General features: G+C 44.3%; 2 protein-coding genes across 6 annotated transcripts in view, besides 1 other annotated feature; one reads left to right on the top strand and one right to left on the bottom strand.

Annotated features, from left to right (window-relative positions):
* The window catches only part of DOCK2 (dedicator of cytokinesis 2), a 446,108-nt gene that overhangs the window by 105,275 nt on the left and 321,407 nt on the right, over positions 1 to 19,426 (bottom strand). The gene's annotated exons all lie outside the window — the stretch shown is intronic.
* The window catches only part of INSYN2B (inhibitory synaptic factor family member 2B), a 119,193-nt gene that overhangs the window by 2,388 nt on the left and 97,379 nt on the right, over positions 1 to 19,426 (top strand). The gene's annotated exons all lie outside the window — the stretch shown is intronic.
* Positions 397 to 1,596: an enhancer, noted in NCBI's record as "BRD4-independent group 4 enhancer chr5:169403516-169404715 (GRCh37/hg19 assembly coordinates)". NCBI's record gives its function as "activates an origin of replication core promoter dependent on BRD2, P300/CBP, MED14 and CDK7 cofactors, and independent of BRD4, by STARR-seq in HCT116 cells {active_cell/tissue: HCT116}" and the evidence as "EXISTENCE:reporter gene assay evidence [ECO:0000049][PMID:35650434]".

The raw sequence follows: 19,426 nt of genomic DNA, 5'->3' as shown, positions 1-19,426 counted from the left end.
CGACCAAAATAAAATAAAATATAGAAAGCACCAGTGAGAGGAGATGAAGGAAAGTTTGCCGAGGGAGGCTCAGAGACAGATGAAAAGTTCTTTCTAGGAGCTGTCCTTTGGAGACTAGGAGTGGCCGAATGCACTCACAGGTTGCTTCTCTATTCACCCCCATGTCTGCCATCTGGTTATGTAACAGATTTTATTCTTGGATGAAATTGGTGCTGTCTGTGTGGTGGGTCTAGGACTGGAAGTGGGAGGCTTTGGTGTCAGGAAAAACAGGGACTCTAAAACCTATTCATTTTAGAGCTTTATCAGGCAGTTCAGAATTGTAATTGGGAGCACTCTTTGGGAAAACTAAGGTGTGCTGTCTGTCCTTGCGTTCTGGGCTCTGTGCTAGGTGCGAGGCATGGAGCAATGAGCAGGATGGATAAGGCAGTACTCTAAAGAGCTTACATCTGGTTCTGCCAGGATGCAAGCATGAGAGTGGGGGCTTAGGAGCCAGAAAGCCTGAGTTCAAATCTCAGCTGTATCTCTTACTAGTTTTGTGACCTCGAGCAGGGTCTTGTGCCTCAGCTGCCTCATCTGTAAAAGGGGATAAAAATATTCCTTACTTCACACTGTTTTGGTGAGGGTTCAATTAATTTGTGTAAAGGACTTAGAATACGGAAAGCCCTCGATAATAGCAGCTATTATTAGTATTGTCTTGTTGCTGACTCAAGTCCAGAGAAGCTATGCAGATTAGCTCATTGAAATTCCTGACCTGGACAGAGGAAATGATGACTCCGCCTACCCGTGACTATCTATGGACACATCAAGCACTCCCAATCACAGCTTGGGATGAACAGCTAAGAGCCTCTGCCGCTGAACATGCTTTTGGTTAACAACATGCCACTGTTCAGTAAGTCCAGTGTGTGCCTCTTGGAACAGAGCATGCTGGGACAGTTCTTTTATTCAGGAACAGTTGCTGGCAGGTAGGAAAAGTGACAACAGTGTCCAAATTGTTCAGAAGCCTGAAAAATAACTGTCTTCATCGAAAACTTAGTTCCCCAGTTGTTTGGCTTTAAGAAGGTGTGTCTGTCTTTGCGTGCAGTGACATTCTTTGGTTACCCAGGACATCCTGCTGTGCAATAGAATAAACTGAATCACCTTCTTTCCTAAGAAGCTTTTTGATCCGCAAGGTTCATGTGGCCTGCTACATGTCAAAGGCATAGCATCACAGGAAAACAGAAAGATGCCACTTGGATGTTGCATATGCTGGGTGTGCCCTGACATGTTCCATCTGTACAACATGGCAACTCCGGCAGAGTCAGCCATGTGCACCCCTGCCTGACGCTGTGGGCATTAATGACAGATCAGCTCTTAAGCACAGACAAGGGGCCAGAAGCGCAGGCTGCTTTGAATCAAGGCTCGAAGAGGGGCCTGAATTCATTACACACTCTTCATTTGAAACTAACACCTTCTGATCCTGGTTGGAGCCTGTGCTTGTGGCTCTGTGATGTGAAATCACTTTAAATTTTCTTCTTTTTTTTCTTTTTGAGATCACTTGAAAACTTCTAAAGTATATGATGAGATGTTTAATCACAAGGGGAAGTGGAAGGAAAGAAAATTCCATTCATTCATTCCTTTTGCCCAGGGCCCTACATTCATCATCTCAATAGCGACCACCAAGTGCTAGGTGCCAGAGGCACAGCAGTTACTGAATCCTGTCAGTAATCTCATGAGGTCAGCTTCATGCTCATTTTATACAGGAGGAAAGTTAGATACCTGGAGGTCAGGTAGCTTGCTTATGCAGACTTTTAGTATATGGTGACATAGGACCTAAAATTTAGGCCTTTCCGACTCTAAGCCCTGTGTTCTCTTAAAAACCCGCCACGTCTTCCACATCAGCACTCTCATGGGCAGAGATTTGTGTCCATTTATTCATTGTTCTTTGTCAGAAGGTAGAGTTGAACTTGCATATTGCATGGGTTCAATAAATATTTGTTAGATGGGAGATTGAATTTATTATAGAATTTCCCATCTCCAAAAGAATGTTATAGGGACCACCCCCTCCATAAAAGCTGAAAAGTTAGGGTCCTGTGTTGACTACCTTTGCCTTAGGAGAGGCCAGAAATGAAAGAAGTTTTGTTCTACCTCTGAACACATCCCATCTTAAATTATATTCTAGCAATCCAGAGTGAGATAATTCTTTCACACATTTCTTAATTCAACAAATATTTCTTGAGCACCTACTATGTGCCAGGCATGGTTTTAGATGCTGGGGATACAGCTGAGGTTACCAAAGGCTTTGTTCTTAAGAAGCTCACATCCCCGTTGGGAAGAGCCAGGAACAGAGGGAACACACTTTAAACAAGGAAATATATATGTAAGATCATTTTAGATAGTGATATGTGCCACTAATGAAATATTACAAAGCAATAGCATGGAGATGGAGTATCTGCCCTATTTTCAATAGGATGGATCATAGTGGCCTCTTTAAGAGTTGACATTTGAGTAGAAACCTGAATAGTGAAAATGGGTCATGCAAAAATCTGGCAGAACAGTAGATGCAAAGGCCCCGAAGTGGGATGTGCTTGGAGCGTCGGAGGAGCTGAAAGAAGTTCAGTGTGGTGGAAAGGTATGACTGAGGGAAGGCTCCGTATATGATGAGGTCAGAGAGACAGGCAGCAGTCTGATCCCACGGGCCCTTGGAGGCCCATGGGATCAGTGCAAGAATTAGGATTTTCTTGTAAGTACAAAGAGAAGCCATTGATTTGGACTTTGAGAAACATGCTGTAGCTGCTGTGTGCTGGAAAGCTCTCCTCTTTAGAGAAGCATTTTCCATGTCTTTCTACACCAGCCCATCTCCAAGGCACTAGACTGGAGTTGTTCCTAGGGTCAGGAGTTTGTGAAAAGCACAAATTATGTTTTAAATGTTGACTCTTCCTCATTCCTGATGGTTGTCACTCTTCAGCAAGCATTTCTTGCTAAATGATTATTTTCTAGCAGAATCTGGCCCTCCTTCAGCAGGTGTGGGCATGGACTTTAGTTTTACATTGATTCCACTTATCTTTGAGTCCAGTGGGCTCATCTCCCTGTCATGCAGAGTTGAATGAACAGAAGCCTACTTTTGGAGGCTCCCAGTCTCTGGTTAAAGCCATTCAAGTCTGGGGGCCTACCTGAGAAGCCTGCTTGCCAGGAGAGGGGTTATCATTCAGGATACCCCAGTTTTTAATGGCACAGAACATAATTATCCTGTTTCTAACTCTCTCCATGGAAACATGTGTGTGTGTCGGGGGGAGGGGGGTCACAAATATGATTGCAAAAAGAACAGGTTCAGAAACAAGGATTTATTCTCCATGTATACAACAACGATGGGCTTCTGTGCCTCACACTGAACATCTCAGGAAGGGCTGTGCAGGAAAATACGGTATATTCCTCAGTTCACACCTCCCTGAGAAAAATCAAAACCAGGAGCATTGCTAGGGTATGGAGCTCTGGATAAGGATCCTAAGCAGCTCCGCTCCCACTCTTTCCTGCAAACATGTGCATCCAGGGTAAAATGACACCAAGGTCAACCTTCTGTGGGTAAAGGTGTCCCAACAGGATGTGAAGTCTCTGACAGGAGGTACTGTGGGCTAAACAACAGTAATAATAATCACCATTTCAAGGGCTAAATACATGTTAGATACTAGGCTAAGCCTCCATTTCCCATCTGAAAGGACTTTTTATAGGGCCATAACAAAGGAAGAAAAAACCAGAAGAAAGAGAAGTTAGTATTAGTCAGATGTTTATGTGTTAGACGCTGTTAAAAAGTACACTGATGATCGTAATAGCCAACAGTTATAGGATACTTACTATGGGTCAAGCACTCACTATGTAAGCTTTATCTTATGTAATCCTCCAAACTTTCAGTAGATGTTGGTAATACCATTTTTACTTGATAGATAAGAAAACCAACGAACAGAGAGGGGATATAGGTTGCCTAGATCAGCTTGACTTCAGAATGCTTTCATTTAATTTAGAAAAAAAGGAGGCTATCATTTTTGCAACCATGGTATGATCTTATTATCATTAAAATTAAGCCATACCTCAAAAGTCAATGAAGAAAGGAAAAGTGTGTGATCGTCCACCTCACCACCTCTCCCCCTGCTGAATTAACCTTGAATATTAGGAAACATCATTGACATCTCTTGTGCCTATATAGAAGAGGAGGAATGGATGATGGACGGATGGACAGATGGATAAATTAACAGATGAATGAATGAATAGATGGATGTATGGACATATGGATAAAGCTAGCTAGATGATATACACAGATAGACCAATTGGTAAAGTTACACAGTTACATAGACAGAACCAGCCCTCTTAATGACTATTCTCTATGGCTGAGGACACCCCTCCTGTTTTCTGCATTACTTGGGATTTGAAGGCTAAGAAGGGTTCTGTATGAGGTACCAATACCGCATACTGGGAAATATATCTAGTTTCTCATAGATGTAGCTTTTCCGGCAGGCACTGGACACATCCTAAGTCCTGGGATCAATGCCAGCTCTCCTTGACATGCTCTGGAACTCTGGACAAATTATTTTACCTCTTGGACCCTCAGTTCTCTCTTTGTGAATGGGGATAACCATGCAGGTTCTGTAGGACTGTAGTGAGGATGAAGGTAGAAGACACATGCAGAGGGTCCCTTAAAAAGCCTGGCACACACTAGGTATTCAGAAAGACTTCTTGCAATGCTCAGCCTCAGTTCCATTCCTGATTCACCAGGAACAGTCTGTGATCAGCCGGAGATGTGTAGAGTTTGCTTCTGGTTCACTTGTAGAGGATGATTTAAACCCCCCTGTGGAAATGAGGGCAGCTGCATTGTGGGTGAGGATTTATAGTTTCTTCCATTTTTCTCCCTTTACAAAGCCTCTATTGTTTAAGGGAGTGGAGGGGGCAGGCAGATAAATATGTTCACAGAACATCGGGTGACCAAGCCAGAGAGCTTCCAGGAGGGAAGATTACTTTGTGGATAAAAGGATTTCTTCAGTTTACCTCGTTTTCCTTCTTGAGGAGTGAAGAGGAGTGAAGGTCTCTCACATCATGTATTAAACTTCAAGCCAAACGTATCATCCAGGCCTCTTTTAGCACTTCCTCCCTCCTCTAGTTGTTTCTGCTGCAAGAGATCTGCTAGTCACAGCACACTCAGGTACTAGGATCTGCTAACAGCTTATTGGGGAGGGGGGTGGTTGCTTGGAGGTGGCCCCTTTGCAAACTCTGCATTGCTCAATTCCGCAGTGCTTAACTGCAGCAAGGACACACTGAAGGTGTAATTCTTAGTCCACATTGGAGAACATTTTTCCCGCTTCCTAGACAATTCCTCAGTCCTCACTCCCAATCAATCAATCAGTTATCAAATATTTATTTAGCACTTATTGTGTGTAAGGAGCTATGTCAGGTATGATGATGGTCCACACACTGAAGGTCTCAGACTAACAGGGGAGATTTTATCCACCTATCATCTATCTATCTATCTATCTATCTATCTATCTATCTATCTATCATCTATCTATCTATCTATCTATCTATCTATCTATCTATCTATCTGTCTCACAGTGGCTCTTAACTGGGGCAATTTTGTCCCTCAAAGGGCATTGCCTTGAAATATTTTTCATTGTCAAAAGTGATGGAGAGGTTGCTACTGACATCTATTGGTTAAAAACTAAGGATGCTGCTAAAATATCCTACAATACATAGGATAGCCCCCACAAAGAAAATGATCCAGCCCCAAGTGTCACTAGCACTGATGTTGAGAAGCTCTGATCCATAAAGGGGAAGATACATTATGATACTAAATGATAAGTGCAAAATGCATGCTATAGGTAAGGTTTGCACTAGGCTTTTAATAAGCAGGAACAATCTATGAGGGTAGAAATATTCAGGGAAAATTTCATAGAGCATGTAGGATTTGAGAAACTACAAGATTGATAGAGATTGAGCTAAGAATGGGAAAGGACATCTTAGATCAATAATAGAAAATACATTTTATTTTATAATTTGATTAATTTAATTGATTGGTAGTGACTGTCTGGGAAGTTGTGTTGGAAATAATTCTAAGGCCAAGTCCTAGCTCAGCAGGAAAGAGTGTGGCAATCAATTAGTGATGTCTGCCATGGGCAAGGGCAGGGAGTGGTAGTATATATACTGAGAAATTGCTGCTTCATATTTATATGTTGGAACAGGATGAGGAAAGTGGCAGAGGTGGAAATGAACAAAGTGCCTGGGTACAGCAGAAGTTCATGGGTAACTACGAGAGATATTTAGAGGGGAAGAATATGGAAGGGCCTTGGATGCCTAGCTAAGGGCTTTGATCCTCAATTTGTAGGTAATAGGATGCCATGCAGGCACCTGCCTACTGTGTTGCCTTCAGGCCAGCTCTGCTGACGAGGTCTTGAGAACTAAAGAAAGCTACCCAAAGTCCTTGCTCTTCATTTCTATAAAGGGAGTACTATTTCATCTGTTAACAGCAAAAACTGGCAGAATCATCACACTCTGGCTTTTATGAAGCTGATCCCCATGATGAGAAAAATCCTATGAGGCTGAACTCAGAGATAACTGTTTGAAAAGCTGACTCCAAGGTTTCACATTAATGAGCTCCTGTAAAGCCCTTTTGGATAGAGCATTCCTTCTGATGTCTTTCATGAAAAAAAAAAAAAAAAAAGGCTCTAGGAGGAAAGGGGCAGAAGGAAGTGGAAGTCCATTCCTAGGGCTCACGTGCCAGCTGTGGCTGACCCCTGGCTAGGGCACTGCATAGCCAACCCAGCTTGTGCTTCCTGTCAGGCCCCAGCTCCCCGGCAGGCTGGCTCCTTCTCTGGCAGCTTCCTTCCTGCTCTGGGAATGATACTTCATTGATTCATTGGTTTGCAATTTTCCAGATGATGTCATACTCATTTTTTTTTTTGCCTTTCTTTCCCTCTGTTCACCTCTTGCCTCTTAAATTCACATTTGTCCCACTTCCCTGTCCTCTGGAATGGTAGCAACACCTCCCGATTACCATCCTCTGCAGTCCGCATTAGCTGCCTGCTGACTCCCTCTCCCCGTCATCATTAATAAAGGTGACACAGCAGCTTGGCATGAACGCAGGTCCTCCCCCCGCTGCCCCACCCTCCCCTGTCTTGGAGAGGATGGCTCCCTGACTGCAAAACCCCTGCCTTTGAAGGTTTCTTCCTGCACCCAGCTCCCATACGTATATTCGGATCCACACTCAATTAAAGAAAAATCAACTGACACAATGAAAAATGCCATTCAGAGAGCTGGCCTGGTGGAGCCCAGATATCAGATCAACTTATTAAAGCCCCATATCTACTAATTCCATCTAGAAAAGAAAAAAGATGTCACAGTTGTCTGGACTGATTTTTTCTTTAAAATCTCCCCTGATTATTTCACCCTGGCAGGGCCAGAGAAATCCCAGCAAAAGTCTAATCAAAGTTAAAGCTTAGAGTTAGAGAGCTGATGGGGAGGATGATTCTTGGGAACTACCCTGCAAGCCAGCCTCCCTGCAGCACAGATGGGGAAACCATGGACCAGAGAGGTTGGGTGGTTTCCCCATAGTCACATTACAACCCAGTCATATGATCACAGTGTTGAGTTGACTCTATCACCCTCCACCACCTTCAAACAGCAGTCCCCTGACCTTCCAAGTTTCCTACAAACAAAGTGATTGTTCTTTCCCAGCCTTATTTCAGCCAGGGGGCTGTCCAGATGCCCAGGATAAATGAACCTTAAGGCTGATATTTGAGAAATACATTCTTCTTTACTTTTCTGACCAAATAGGTATCCAGGTTTGGGGCAGAACAAGCCATTGAGCAATTATTTTGTCTTTCAAAAAAAAGATGGAATGCATGTCCCTATTACCACTATTCATTGCCACTTTGATCCATTACATTCTGTGCACGGCATCCAAATCTGGTTAAGAACATCAAATTAAAAACCAAACGATTGATCACTGAAGTCACTCTGCATAATGAAAATCATCTGAACATGCCTTTAAGGGGCCTCAGGGCAGTAACAGGGTGGGACATGGGAGGCTTCACTTACATCACTGTAGCCAGAGATCCTCAAAAAGGCAGCCTGTAGGCCTCACATAGCCCACAGAAATGCTTGGTTTGACCAGCATCATGTTTTTAAAACATTTGAATTTGTTGTCAACAATTAAAAACCAGAAGAACTTGCATTGAATTTTGGATATTCAGTTTCTCTTGGACATTTGGAAGATCCAGCAATCCCAGTCTATATTTCCAAGGAGCTGCCCCCTGAAGAGAGCAGGCCCTTTCTAGGCAGGCAAGGCCTGGCCTCATTCTAGGGTAACCAACTCATCTTGGTCTGCTGGGAGACTTTTCCTGGGAAACCCCTCAGTCCTAGGTAACCAGGACAGTTGGTCACCCCACCTAGTTCTCTCACTGTTGTTATCTGCCTGGACCCTGTAGGCACTGCACGTGTGACCTTTCCTACAGCCTCCGCCACTCCCCTCTAGGGAATGCCTCCGCAGAATGGCATGCAAAGCTGTCCACTCTGAATTCTCCCCACTCTCCTACATACCACCTGCTCTCAACTTCTCTTCACTATTTGGTATTTGCAAAAGCCATGGATGCTCTCTCTGACACAAATGAAGTCCAATTCATTTTTTTCTTTTTTCTTTGTTTTTTGAGATGGAGCCTCACTCTGTCACCCAGGCTGGAGTGCAGTGGCGTGATCTCGGCTCACTGCAACTTCCACCTCCCAAGTTCAAGTGAATCTCCTGCCTCAGCCTCCCGAGTAGCTGGGATTACAAGTGCCCCACACCACACCCAGCTAATTTTTGTATTTTTAGTAGAGATGGTGTTTTACCATATTGGCCAAGCTGTTCTTGAGCTCCTGACCTCAGGTGATCTATCTGCCTCAGCCTCCCAAAGTGCTGGGATTACAGGGATGAGCCACCACCCCCGGCCATTTTTTCTTTTTTGAAACAGAGTCTCACTTTGATACCCAGGGTGAGTGCAGTGGCATGATCATGGCTCACTGTAGCCTTGACTTGCTGGGCTCAAGCAATCCTCTCACCTCAGCCTCCAGAGAAGCTGCGACCATAGGCACATGTCACCACATCAGGCTATTTTTCAAAATTTTTTGTAGAGGCATGGTATCACCATGTTATCCAGGGTAGTCTCAAACTCCTAGACTCAAGTGATTCTCCTGCCTTGGCCTCCTAAAATGCATAATTCATTTTTAAAGACTCACACAAGTGCCATTTCTTCTCCCGGGAAGCCTTCTCTATTCTCCCTGTGCCAGGTAGAACAGGGCAGTCCATCTTTGTGTTCTAACCACACTCAATTCTTCCTCCTTTTATTTTGCTCATCACCATTAACACAGCATCAAGTGAGCTGACCCAGGGAGTACCCTTCCTAATAACTAGCGGGAGTCAAAATTGTGATAAAATTGAAAAATGTGAAGATTTCGAAGACTCAGTCTCTCTGCAGTTGTGAGCTTTGCAATCATTCATCAAAATGAAAAACAAAAACCATCTCACAAGTATCTGCACGAACTCCATAGGGATATTTACCATGCTGAAGTCGAAGAACACTTGGGCCCCCTGAACATTGACCCCCCAATGTTTCTTCCACCTGTAATGTGGTATCTTAATCATATGCTCATGTGTCTGTCCCCACTGGCCCTGGAGAAACTCAAGGGCAGGAACCTTCTTCCCAATCCTGTATCCTCAATGCCTGACACATAGAAAGCACTCAGTAAAAATATCTCAAGGAGGGGAGTGGCTGGACTCCTATCAAAGAGGTTAAAAGGACTGCCTCGTTTGCTGTGATTTTAAAGGACAAAGGTCTTCTCAGCTATCCCAGTGCCCACAGGGCCACTGAAGCTTAGCTGAATGCCTTGAGCCATATTACAAGCTGAAACAACCAGCCCATGATTGGGGTCAAGCTGTCATTCTTTTGGCCATTTCTCATGAGATTACAAAGTGTTGTCAGCTTTGGGATCTTTTCTGATAAGTAAAGAGAATTCCAGGAAGGTTTTCTCTCCTTGAAGCTTCAGACTTATGCATCCAGCATCCAACTTCCTCCTGGACATTTCCACCTCATGGGCAGCTCATATTAACATGTCAACATGATCCTTCCCCTCTCAGACCTTTCTTCCTCCTCCCCATGTGCTCCTTCTCAGAACCAGCCACTTTGGCCAGGACAGTAATCCAGCCATAGTCCTTTGTTCCACCCTTTCTCTCGCTCCTCCCACATTCAATAAATCACAAGCCATGGGGATTTAGAAATTTTTCTTGAAAGAAAAGAAATTTGTCTTGAGTTTGTTCATTTCTCTCCCTACACTCTTACTGCACTGATTGACGCTACCATCATCAGTACCTGGATTATTGCAGTAGCCTCCTAAACGCACCCCCTGCTTCCCACTCTGGCCCCTCTAATCAATTCTCCCTGTTGCAGTCAGAGTGTGATCTCTCTATAATGGAAATGAGACTAAATCTCAATCCTACTAAAATAGACTCCACTTACTCACAGAGTCAAAATCCAAACCTCTTAGCATGGTGTTCGGTTCCCTGCATGACCTGGTCCCTCTTCCCTTTTCAGCCTTATTTCTTCCACTCTTCCTACTCTTCCCTTTAAACTTTATCATCCGGCCACACAGAACTTATACTAATTCCCCTCCAACCTGCACATCCAGATCATATTCTGATCACCTCTGACAGCCTGACCACATGCTGTTGCCTTTACCAGAAGCATTGTTCAGCATCTGAGCCAACACATGTATCTACCTACCTTTTAAACAATTGACATAGTCACCTCTACTGAACTTCAGGTCCCGTATTTGAAATCACTTCATCTGGAAAGGCTTCTGGGATTCTCTCCACCACTAGCTGTGGTCAGGGCCCTCCTCTGAGTTCTCATGTCCCTGTGCATATCACTTTCATGGCACTGATGGCAGTTTTCAGGAACCCACTTTATCTATCTCTGTCCACCTCTGGACCAGGAAGGCAGAGACTGGCTCAGTGTCCTACTTTCTCCTTATCTCTTTATCCCTAGCACCTGGCACAGTGCCTGGCACATAGGAGGTACTTCACCATTAATTGCTCAATGAATGGATATATAATATGGTCTCAGATGGAAGAATCAGTGGGACACAGATTGGGAAAGTAGCTATCTACATAGCATGTGTTAATTTAAGTCTAATTTGATGGCGCATGGATTGGTGAAGGGCTCTCTTTCGTTGAATAGGTTCCTCAAAAACATTAGACCAAAGTCTGATCTGTGTGGAAAGTAACCTCCTCATTGCATGATGGCTGGAGCCTGAGTAGGGAGGGGAACAGCTCATGGAGTCCTGGCCATTCTTTCCGGCCTCATTTTCCATGGAGGTAGTAGGAAACAACACTTGTCCCAGAGTGAGGAGACCATAGTCTCAGCTCTGTCCTGCCACTTGCTGTCCCTGTGTGCCAGGATTGCTTTTCCTTCCTCTTCCTCACCTGTAAAATAAGGGTATGGAGCCAGGTCCTATGCTGAGTGTGGTGATTTGAATTCACCCACAGGTGAATTTGCATCCCAGCTCCTCCAATTATTGCTGTGCAGGCCTCTGTAAGTAATGCTGACTTCATGGGGATCTTATATAGATTGAATGTGATTACATTCCCTAAGTGGATAATGCCATTCTGCTCACAGAATAAGTGCTCAATAAATGGTTACACTTAAGCATACCAGCACATCATAGGGATAAGTTATCAATGGGTTATGTGGTAAAGCTACACAGGCACAGCTAAGATTTGGGGCTTTTAAACTCTGAGTCATGCCATTTCCTCAACCCCCGCCCCCCAAAATAATCTTACTGTACACATTTGCAGCCCATTTTATCTTTGTTATGAAGCAACCAACCAATGTACATTATGTTATGATTAAAACAATAAATCCTTACTGCACTAAATCAAGCCACCAATTATGCTCCTACCATAATGGGATTATATATTTCATCTTGGAATTTTAAAGGCCTTACAACTTCAAAGTATGTTCTGTTGCACATTGCCATTTCGAGATTGGCAGAATATTGCAAAGGAAAACTTCCTGCTCTTCGGAAGGCAGTGGATTTTTCCCTGGTTCATCCTAGGGAAACCTAGGTCTCCTTTGAGTCTCCAAGGTCCCAGCTGATGGAGGAGCATGGAGAAGCCTTTTTCCAGTGGATAATCTGTTCCTGGATTCCTCCTCCAGCACAGGAACCACGTCAAAGGTGAGAGCCCAGAGGCCTGAGTTCTAGTCCTAACTTTGCCATCAATGAGTTAAATGATTTTGGGTGAATATTTTAACCTCTATAGGCCTCAGTTTCCTCATCTGTAACATCAAAAGAGGCCTAGACCTCCAAATTCTGAAAGTCTATAATTGGTTCCTGAAATTAGAGAGATGTCAAAATTCTTCTCCTTTCCTTTCTTGTTCCTTGGATGAGGTTGGACTCTGAGGCCATGGTTCCTAAACTCTGCTGCACATTAGAATTACCTGCCACCAGCTCTCCCGACATTGGGATGTTTAACGCTCCCTGGGTGATCTTAATATGTGGCAAACATTGGGAACCACTGCTCTTAAGGGTGAGTGAGCTCAATAGACAAAAATGAGCCATGCTGACCTGACTCCAACACTAGCCAGCTGTGTGATCTTCAGCAAGCTATTTAATCTCTATGAATTCTCATTTCTAAGCTCATCCCATAATGTTTTGCAAGCAATAAGTGACATAATGCAAAGGAGTGTCTATCTTGCTACTCAGAGTGTGGCCTGTGGACCAGCAGCATTAGCATCACCTGGGAGCTTCTTAGAAATGAAGAACTGCAAGCCCCAGCCCGCAGCTGAAGAATCAGAATGTGATTCTAAGATCTGCAGGTGGGTATTAGGCCCATGGAAATTTAAGGAGCATTGCCTTAGCACACAGTGGGTATTCAAGAAAATGTATCTTTTGTAAGCCTTCTCTGCAATCCTCCCCTTTCACTCATTAACCATCAAGTAACACTTACATACTATGTGCAGCAATGGATGATGGGCCCCTAGCACAGCAAGTGGCACACAGTAGGGCTTCAACAGATGTTTGGCGATTGAATGAATTGATTCAAAAGGGAATCAGACCTGGCTCCTTCTCTCAAGGAGCTCAAAGTCCATGAGGAAAACAGATATGAATGCCAATATGCAGAACAGAATAATAGTCATGAGCGACGGAGACTCACCTTTATTTGCACATGTGCTATGTGCCAGATACTAGCTAAGCAATTTACATGCAGTTCCCCCTTTGAATCCTCCAAGCAACATTGAGAAGTAGATGCCATTATTATACACCTTTTACAAATGAAGACACTTTTGCTCCGAGGGGAGAAGCAGCTCATCTGAAACTATACTCAGCTACTACATGGCACCAATAAGATTTGAAGACAGGGCAGCTCCAGCCTGATCACCTGGTATAGTACTGCTGCTGGGAGATGAGGCAGAAGGGCTGACTTTTGGCTTACCAACTTTGACCATGGCCCCTTCAAGGGTGGCCCTTTCTCTGGGCACTGAGAAAAGTGGCAAAAGGAAGCCCTCCAGGCGGAGATGCTGGGTTTCTATTCCAGCAGAAGAGCTGGCCACAGGGCCGCCAGCTCCCATGAGCCACCTGTCTGACACAGTTCACTGCGTCTAGCTGCCCCCTCCCAGGCCTCTCTCCTGCTGCTTGAACATTTTACTTGCAAATACATTCTGCAGATGATGCCAGTCTTCCCAATGACAGGCCAAGGCAACAGAAAAGAAATTTATAGTCTGAGCTTGGGGGTGGGAGCGGAGCAACTTTCTGGAAACTGCCTGATGGGGGCCAGAGTCCGGGAGTCCCAATCCAGAAGTCCTGAACTCCAGGCTAAGAAAAGGCCTGTGGTCACCGAGGATAAAGCACAGAATGTAATTCTCCTGGGTCTTCCTCTGCACACAGATGAGTTCCCCCAAATCTGCATCTGAATTATGTTCTGGTCAGTAGAATTTCATCATTCAACAGGAGGTGGTAGATGGCAGGGAAGGTGGTGGAAATATTTATTTGTACCTCAACCTTTCTTTAATTCTCCTCCCCCTTCTCCCTCCCCCAATCCTGCCACTTCCATGAGGGTAGGACTTTTGCTCCCTCCCCTTGAAGCAGTGGTTCTCTCTGTGTGGGCCCTGGAGCTGCAGCAGCAGCATCCGAAAACTTATTTGAAATGCACATTCTCAGGCTCCACCCCACACCCACTGAATTAGAGCATCTAGGGGTAGGCCCAGCGGTCTATGTTCAACCAGCCTTCCCGGGGACTCTGCTGGGTGCTCAAGGATAAGAGCCAGGGCCTTAGAGAGCATCTGTAGTGAGTGAATGATGCTAGGGGGAAGGAAGAGGGAAAAATGCTGCTGGTAGGGAGGAAGAGGCAGAAACTGAGGCAAAGAAAGGGTGAAAAGAGACTCCCAAGACTGGGTGAGGGGGTGGGTTAACATTCTGGGTAGCAAAGATCAGTAACTCCTGCTTTGATGTGCACCGGAGGGGAACGGCTGTGTAAGTGCCCCTGTGATGGCTGGTCCCTGGGCCCAGCACTACCAAACCAGCAAAGCCTCCAGCTCTAAGGGACATGCACAATTGTACAATGAGAATATCAGCAGTGACCACAATGGGCCTAGGACCAGAGGAGTCACCATGAATGCACTGCTAAGCATAGGTCCCCAGGGACTTTTGTATGACTCTCTGGATGGGGAGGGAGCAGAGAGGGATGGAGGCCTAATCAAAGGCTGAGATTGAGTTCCTGTCAATGCCAGCCAAGTCAGGTCAGGGCTGCTGTGGGTTGGATTTAATTTGATTTAGAGAAAATAAGGGATCTGTCATCATCCATCTCATCAGTTCATGGACATAAACTGATACCCACCCCACGTGGACCACTTTAAAGAGGCAACATTATGAAGAGCATCCTCAGGCCTTCCCAAACTCTCTTTTGGTTACAGCACCTTATGAACACAGAGCAGAGGGGTAGAAGGTGTAGTTTCCTGAAACACATATTCCAGGGGAACCCAGTAGATATTTCAGGGATGGGAACTGTAACTGTAAAGAGAGTCCCAAAGCCCCACTTAAGCATCAAAATGTCAATTCTTCCACCCTTGGCCTTAGCCCAGCTAGAGCTTCCACCCTTACCCTTCCACTTCCCATCCTATACCTGGCCTAGGGGTATTTGCAGAATATAGCCAGGCAGGGACAGGGGAGCTAAGGCTTTCTCTGTTCTGGGCAAGGAGAATTCTGCCTCATCCCCAGTCTGGCCTCGATACCCTTTCTCCTTATTTTGACGTCTACCTTGACACTTGCCATCTCAGCAGAAAGTGCTCTCTTCCCCTTTCAACTCCTATGGTATGCCCTATTTCCTTCTCTTTCTCTCTAAGAGTTATCATTCCCTACTTTTTAGTGCCGTATTTTCCAATATGTCATTTCAAGCAACAGACAATACGTTCCTAGAGGTTAGGGATCTTGTCTAACCTCTTTGTCTAACCCACCATGGAGCCTGACACAGGTTAGGCTTTCAGCACATATTTGCAGATCTAGTGATAGACACAACTACCTGTCTGACAACTCCAGGTGAATGTTTGCAGGCATCTCAAACTCAAGATGCTCAGTTGGAATTCTTCATCTTCACACCTTTGCTCACCCCAAATCTGGTTCTCTTCTTTCTCTTGGGAAATGGAACCTCCATCCTCCCCCACTTTCCGGTTGCCTCTATGGAAACCTTTGACATCTTTACCACTTTTTCTGACTGGCCATATCCAACTCTTGACCAAGTTCTTTCTGACTGCACCTATAACATATGGCCAGACTCTCTCCTTTTCTCTCCACCCCAGGTCAGTCCACCACGATGTCTCCCTTATACTACAGCAATAGCCTCCTAACTGTCCTCTGCCTCCAATCTTGCTCCCTCCCCTCCAGGGAGCAACCAGAGTAGACTTTTTAAAAACCCAGTCCTATTACTCACATCTCTACTTAGCCACAATAAAGCGTGAAGCCCTTAGCCCAGGTTCATCAGCCACCACTCTGCTCAGACACACTGGCTTTCTCCAAGTTGGACAAGTTGGTTTGTTCTAGTAAGTTCTGGCCTCTATTCTTTTTCTCCATTTTTTTTTTTTTTTTTGGGACAGAGTCTCACTTTTTCACCCAGGCTGGAGTGCAGTGGCACGATCTCGGCTCACTGCAACCTCCGCCTCCTGGGTTCAAGTGATTCTCCTGCCTCAGCCTCCTGAGTAGCTGGGATTACAGGTGCCTGCCACCACACTCAGCTAATTTTTTGTATTTTTAGTAGAGATGGGGTTTCACCATGTTGGCCAGGCTGGTCTTGAACTCCTAACTTCTAGTAATCTGCCCACCTCGGCCTCCCAAAGTGCTGGGATTACGGGCGTGAGCCACTGCACCCGGCCTGGCTTCTATTCTTCTTAAAAAACTTTATACTTGTCCTTCTTAGCACTTGTCACAATTTTAATTAGATATTTATTTATTCAAGACTTGTTTAGTGCTTGTCTCCTTTCCTAGGTGGAGCTCCTTGAGGCAGAGAAATGTCTGCTTAGTCCACCATGTTTTCCCAGCATCCAACACAGTGCCTGAATGTAAAAGGTGCACAGTCAATAGTTTTAAAATGAACACGTTTAAATTTCAAACATTATGCTCAGCATGCTATACTTATTCTTGCACTGTTGTTAGAGTTGATTAGCAGGCAAAGGTAATACATTCCCCTGATGCAAGGCAAGACTAGGCAATTCAATTTAATTCTGTTCAGTGTAGTTCAAGTCACTTCAATTATATTCCATTCATCTTAATTTAATTCCACAAACCTTCACAGATACCAGAACTCTGACAGCATTTATCCTAGGTGTGGAAATGTTAGAGATGATGATGATCCATTAATTGCCCTTGGGGGGCTACCCATTTATGCCCCCTCATCTATGGCCAATGACAATTGTAGGACATATGACTGATCTCCCTACATGCATGAAATTGCAAATGGGCAACAGGTTGACCTAAACAGTGTCTCACTACCATCACTCACTCATGCAATATACTGGGGTGTTTACCATGATAGTTACAGTCGTCTTTCTTAGTCCTCAGGGATATGTTCCAAGACTCCATGGATAGTGAACCTATATATACTATGAACCCTAGTATATATATTCAGTTCATAGCCTATACTGAACCCTATATATACTATGATTTTTTCCTATGCATGCATACCTGTACAGTGTGAATATACTGGACAAAGGGATGATTCACATCCTAGGCAAAGAGAGTAGGATTTCATCACATGACTCAGAACAGAACACAATTTAAAACTTATGAATTATTTATCTGTGGATTTTCCATTTAATATTTTTGGACCACAATTAACTGCAAGTAACAAACCATGGAAAGTAAAACCATGGATTGTGGGAGGAGGGGACAACAATATAGAGACCCGAATATTACCACACAAGTACAGGTGACTAATGATGGCCAAGAATATTGAGTCAAATGGCTGGCCCTCCATTATTGGTCATTTTAAGTGATAGAAATCCTCCAATCCACCTTGAAAACCTATCTTAGAACCTCATGTTTCTTTCTAATCAATAATTTTCCTTTTTATTCCATTTCATCTTGAGTATATGAGATTTGAGCCTACTCACTTCCCAAAAGATGTGAGATGAATGGCAGGCTGAAAAACAAGACATATTAATATTATCAATGGCCTGAAATGAGTTCATCTGCTACAAGAACCAGAAATAGCACCTTTCAGGCACCATAAATGAGCAGATGTAAATACCCAAGGATCTGTCTCTGAATTCTCTAACAGCTAAGAAAAACAAAGATACCCATGTACAGAGGTTTTATCTTTTGACATGGAAGGCATACACAGCTTTCTGTAGGAACTACATTATTTCCTCCTCTGGAACTATACACTGGTGGAAATTTATCATGGGTACTTATAAAAGAACTCAGAGAGGCAGGGTAGACCTTGCCTTCATCAGTTTCACAAAAGCATAAAATGCTCCTCAACCTGACCGTTCCCTCATCCACCTTCAATAAAGGCAGTTCTTTGAGGGACTGATAGCCTGAGATCCGACACTCTGCCTCTGATGATCTAGCTTTACATGGTCGAATTTAATTTAACCTATTTACTCTTATCTGGACCTCAACAGAAACCAAACAAGCTGTTTGCACCCCTTCCAAATATTGCAGGCTCAGCTCTCTGAAGTGCTTCTGTTTCCTCTTTTCCTGGCCAAACCTCTTTTCCATCCTATTGTTGTATTTCCTATTTTGCCCTCTGAGCATTCTACCTGGTTTCCACAGAACTACTTCTAGATCTCTCTAGATCTACGATGACTCTAAGGATGTGGAATAACTAGGATGGCACCTGTTAGTAAAATATCTAGTCAAGGCCAAGTAACACACAGTTGGAGACCTGAGAACTGGACGGACTCCCTAAAGTCCTTTAGTCCAACACTTACCTTTATGCATGATCCTCTGTGAAGCATTCCCAATAAAAGATTCAGTGACCTCTGCTTGCAAGATTCCAAAGAGAGAGAAATCTCTACCTAATCAGAAATTCCATCACCCTGTGGACTATTAGAATTGTTAGAAAGTTCTTCCTTATGTTGAACCATAAACTTCTTTTTGGTAACATCAAGCCATCACACCAGTTCTACTTCTGCAGAATGATCTTCTGGACTCCCCTAGAGTTGTTGGGAATAGTTTGTTCCTTTTTTTTTTTTCTTTTGAGACGGAGTCTCTCTCTGTCACCCAGGCTGGAGTGCAGTGGTGTGATCTCAGGTTCAAGCGATTCTCCTGCCTCAGCCTCCCAAGTAGCTGGGACTGCAGGCGTGCACCACCACGCCCAGCTATTTTTTTTGTATTTTTAGTACAGACAGGGTTTCACCATGTTAGCCAGGATGGTCTCAATGTCCTGACCTCATGATCCGCCCCCCTCGGCCTCCCAAAGTGCTGGGATTACAGGCATGAGCCACCATGCCCAGCCAGTTTGTGCTTTTTATACATGATTTCTACTCATCAGAATATTCTGCAATGCTACCTACATTTTCATATGTTGTTTCTGCCCAGTCCTAGGCTTAAATACTTTATAAGTTAGTAGTTTACTAACGGGAGCTGTTTGATTTGGATTCTAGGAACCTGCCTCATTCCTTAGCCAACTATGAGTTGCTAATGCTGATAAAACACATTGTCTTTGAGAGACACAAAGCGTACTAGGTTTTTCCCCCACTCTCTTAAGTATTTTTGGCAAAACAGAGAAGCATGAAAAGGTGAGACCCCTTTGCCCTGAACCAATTATGAGGGTGACTGGGTAGCTGATGAATGACAGCCCCTCCTGCCTGAATGCCCTCTATTGCTGGGCATTGCTGCACACCAGCTTTTTTCCTGGCCTTAATACATACTTAACCATCTTCAA

Source organism: Homo sapiens, chromosome 5, assembly GCF_000001405.40.
Source record: "Homo sapiens chromosome 5, GRCh38.p14 Primary Assembly".
Lineage (NCBI taxonomy): Eukaryota > Metazoa > Chordata > Mammalia > Primates > Hominidae > Homo > Homo sapiens.
The sequence above is the reverse complement of the archived record's forward strand: the minus strand, read 5'-3'. Positions and strand labels throughout refer to the sequence as shown.